Below are 3,493 nucleotides of genomic sequence, written 5' to 3' on the forward strand. Positions count from 1 at the left end.
GCTAAAGACCTTAGAGTATATGCCATATGATTCTATACGAACTGGCAAAAACTATTCATCAACTTAGATGAGTGGTTGTTTCTGCAAAGGGTGATCAGCTAAGGGCCAGGGCAACTTTCTGGGATGATGGAAAGACTGTGTATTTCTACCCTAATAGCAGATTGACATAGCCATTTAAAATATGTTTTCACCATATAGAATTATACCTGAATTTCTTTAAAGTTATTAGTTAATGAAAAGAAAAATTTTTCTGAATACAACTGAAGCTTTGTTCTTCCTGCTCAATAATATTCCCACTAATTCTATACCTTCTCAGAGGTTACCAGGATTCTGCAATCAGCGTGTATGCTTCCCAGGCATATTATATATATTATGCTTGTATTACACATGCATGTAGCTATTACAATGGATAGTAGATGTGGCTTTAAAAATGTTTTCTTTGTGTAATGAGATAACATTTTTACTATTTTAAAATTAGAGACAACTGTGCATTTTTGGAGTTTCAGAAAAGAATGAATTCATAGACTTCTCAAAGCACACCGAAAAATATATTATCAATAAATATTTTTTAGAAAAAAAGTTTAGACATATGTATCATGTTATTCTTAACAGTTCACATTAATTTAATATTGCTTTCACTTAGCAAGGACCACTTTCTCTCTGACTCAGAAATTAGAAAAAATGTCTGTGTTATTTTCAATGAATCAATATTCACTAAACAATAATTAACATTGTTAATAAAAATTTACATTTCTTGAATTATTTTTAGTGGTTATTAACCTGTGTTCAGGTTCTGCTTTCATTTTCACAGGGCTGTTGTCCTTTTTGTTTCTTTCTCACCTCTCAATGCCCTCAACTCTGTAATAACTCCCTCATGTGTTATTTTCCTTCATAAAGATGTGGTTCTTATACCTAGGGACATTTCTGTCTGTAAGAAGGTGTCTTAATGAACTATAGACATAATCATCTTAAGGCATTAATCATCAAAGGGTGAAAACTGACAACAAGTTTATGCATATACACGTTGCAATAATATAGGGCTTTCTATATTACAGGATTTGCTTTATCTCTGTTTATTTATATCTTATTGAACTTATATACTCCATACCTTTTTTATTTTTATTTTTTATTATACTTTAAGTTCTAGGGTACATGTGCATAACATGCAGGTTTGTTACAGATGTACACATGTGCTATGTGGGTGTGCTGCACCCAGTAACTCATCATTTATAGGTATATCTCCTAATGCTAACCCTCCCCCATCACCCCACCCCACGACAGGCCCCAGTGTGTGATGTTCCCCTTCCTGTGTCCAAGTGTTCTCGTCGTTCAATTCCCACCTATGAGTGAGAACATGCGGTGTTTGGTTTTTTGTCCTTGCGATAGTTTGCTGAGAATGATGGTTTCCAGCTTCATCCATGTCCCTACAAAGGACATGAACTCATCTTTTTTTATGGCTGCATAGTATTCCATGGTGTATATATGCCACATTTTCTTAATCCAGTCTATCATTGTTGGACATTTGGGTTGGTTCCAAGTCTTTGCTCTTGTAAATAGTGCCGCAATAAACATACGTGTGCATGTGTCTTTATAGCAGCATGATTTATAATCCTTTAGGTATATACCCAGTAATGAGAAGGCTGGGTCAAATGGTATTTCTAGTTCTAGATCCTTGAGGAATCGCCACACTCTCTTCCACAATGGTTGAACTAGTTTAAAGTCCCATCAACAGTATAAAAGTGTTCCTATTTCTCCACATCCTCTCCAGCACCTGTTGTTTCCTGACTTTTTAATGATTGCCATTCTAACTGTTGTGAGATGGTATCTCACTGTGGTTTTAATTTGCATTTCTCTGATGGCCAGTGATGATGAGCATTTTTTCATGTGTCTGTTGGCTGCATAAATGTCTTCTTTTGAGAAGTGTCTGTTCATAACCTTTGCCCGCTTTTTGATGGGGTTGTTTGTTTTTTTCTTGTAAATTTGTTGGAGTTCTTTATAGATTCTGGATATTAGCCCTTTGTCAGATGAGTAGATTGCAAAAATTTTCTCCCATTCTGTAGGTTGCCTATTCACTCTGATGGTAGTTTCTTTTGCTGTGCAGAAGCTCTTTAGTTTAATTAGATCCCATTTGTCAATTTTGGCTTTTGTTGCCATTGCTTTTGGTGTTTTAGACATGAAGTCCTTGCCCATGCCTATGTCCTGAATGGTATTGCCTAGGTTTTCTTCTAGGTTTTTTATGGTTTCAGGTCTAACATGTAAGTCTTTAATCCATCTTGAATTAATTTTTGTGTAAGGTGTAAGGAAGGGATCCAGTTTCAGCTTTCTACATATGGCTAGCCAGTTTTTCCAGCACCATTTATTAAATAGGGAATCCTTTCCCCAGTGTTTGTTTTTGTCAGGTTTGTCAAAGATCAGATGGTTGTAGATGTGTGGTATTATTTCTGAGGTCTCTGTTCTGTTCCATTGGTCTATATCTCTGTTTTTGTATCAATACCATGCTGTTTTGGTTACTGTAGCCTTGTAGTATAGTTTGAAGTCAGGTAGCGTGATGCCTCCAGCTTTGTTCTTTTGGCTTAGGATTGTCTTGGCAATGAGGGCCCTGTTTTGGTTCCATATGAACTTTAAAGCAGTTTTTTTCCAATTCTGTGAAGAAAGTCATTGGTAGCTTGATGGGGATGGCATTGAATCTATAAATTACCTTGGGCAGTATGGCCATTTTCATGATATTGATTCTTCCTATCCATGAGCATAGAACGTTCTTCCATTTGTTTGTGTCCTCTTTTATTTCACTGAGCAGTGGTTTGTAGTTCTCCTTGAAGAGGACATTCACATCCCTTGTAAGTTGGATTCCTAGGTATTTTATTCTCTTTGAAGCAATTGTGAATGGGAGTTCACTCATGATTTGGCTCTCTGTTTGCCTGTTATTGGTGTATAAGAATGCTTGTGATTTTTGCACATTGATTTTGTATCCTGAGTCTTTGCTGAAGTTGCTTATCAGCTTAAGGAGATTTTGGGCTGAGACGATGGGATTTTCTAAATATACAATCATGGCATCTGCAAACAGGGACAATTTGACTTCCTCTTTTCCTAATTGAACACCCTTTATTTCTTTCTCCTGGCTGATTGCCCTGGCCAGAACTTTCAACACTATGTTGAATAGGAGTGGTGAGAGAGGGCATCCCTGTCTTGTACCAGTTTTCAAAGTGGAAAGAGCTTTAATTTTGCTTTAATTTTTTTTTCATTCTCATGTTAGCTGTACACTGCTTTTATGTGCATGTCTGTCTTTTTCTGATCAAAAAACCTTAAAGTTCTTTACTGCCTATTGGACTAAATTAGGTTTCCATATTTAGGGGATGATAGAGACACTATGTATTTCTACCCTGATAACAGATTGACATAGCCACCTAAAATAGGATTCACCACATATAATCATACTTCATTTTTTTAAAGTTATTAACGAAAAGAAAAATTATTCTGAATGCAACTGAAATTT

Source organism: Homo sapiens, chromosome 4, assembly GCF_000001405.40.
Source record: "Homo sapiens chromosome 4, GRCh38.p14 Primary Assembly".
NCBI lineage: Eukaryota > Metazoa > Chordata > Mammalia > Primates > Hominidae > Homo > Homo sapiens.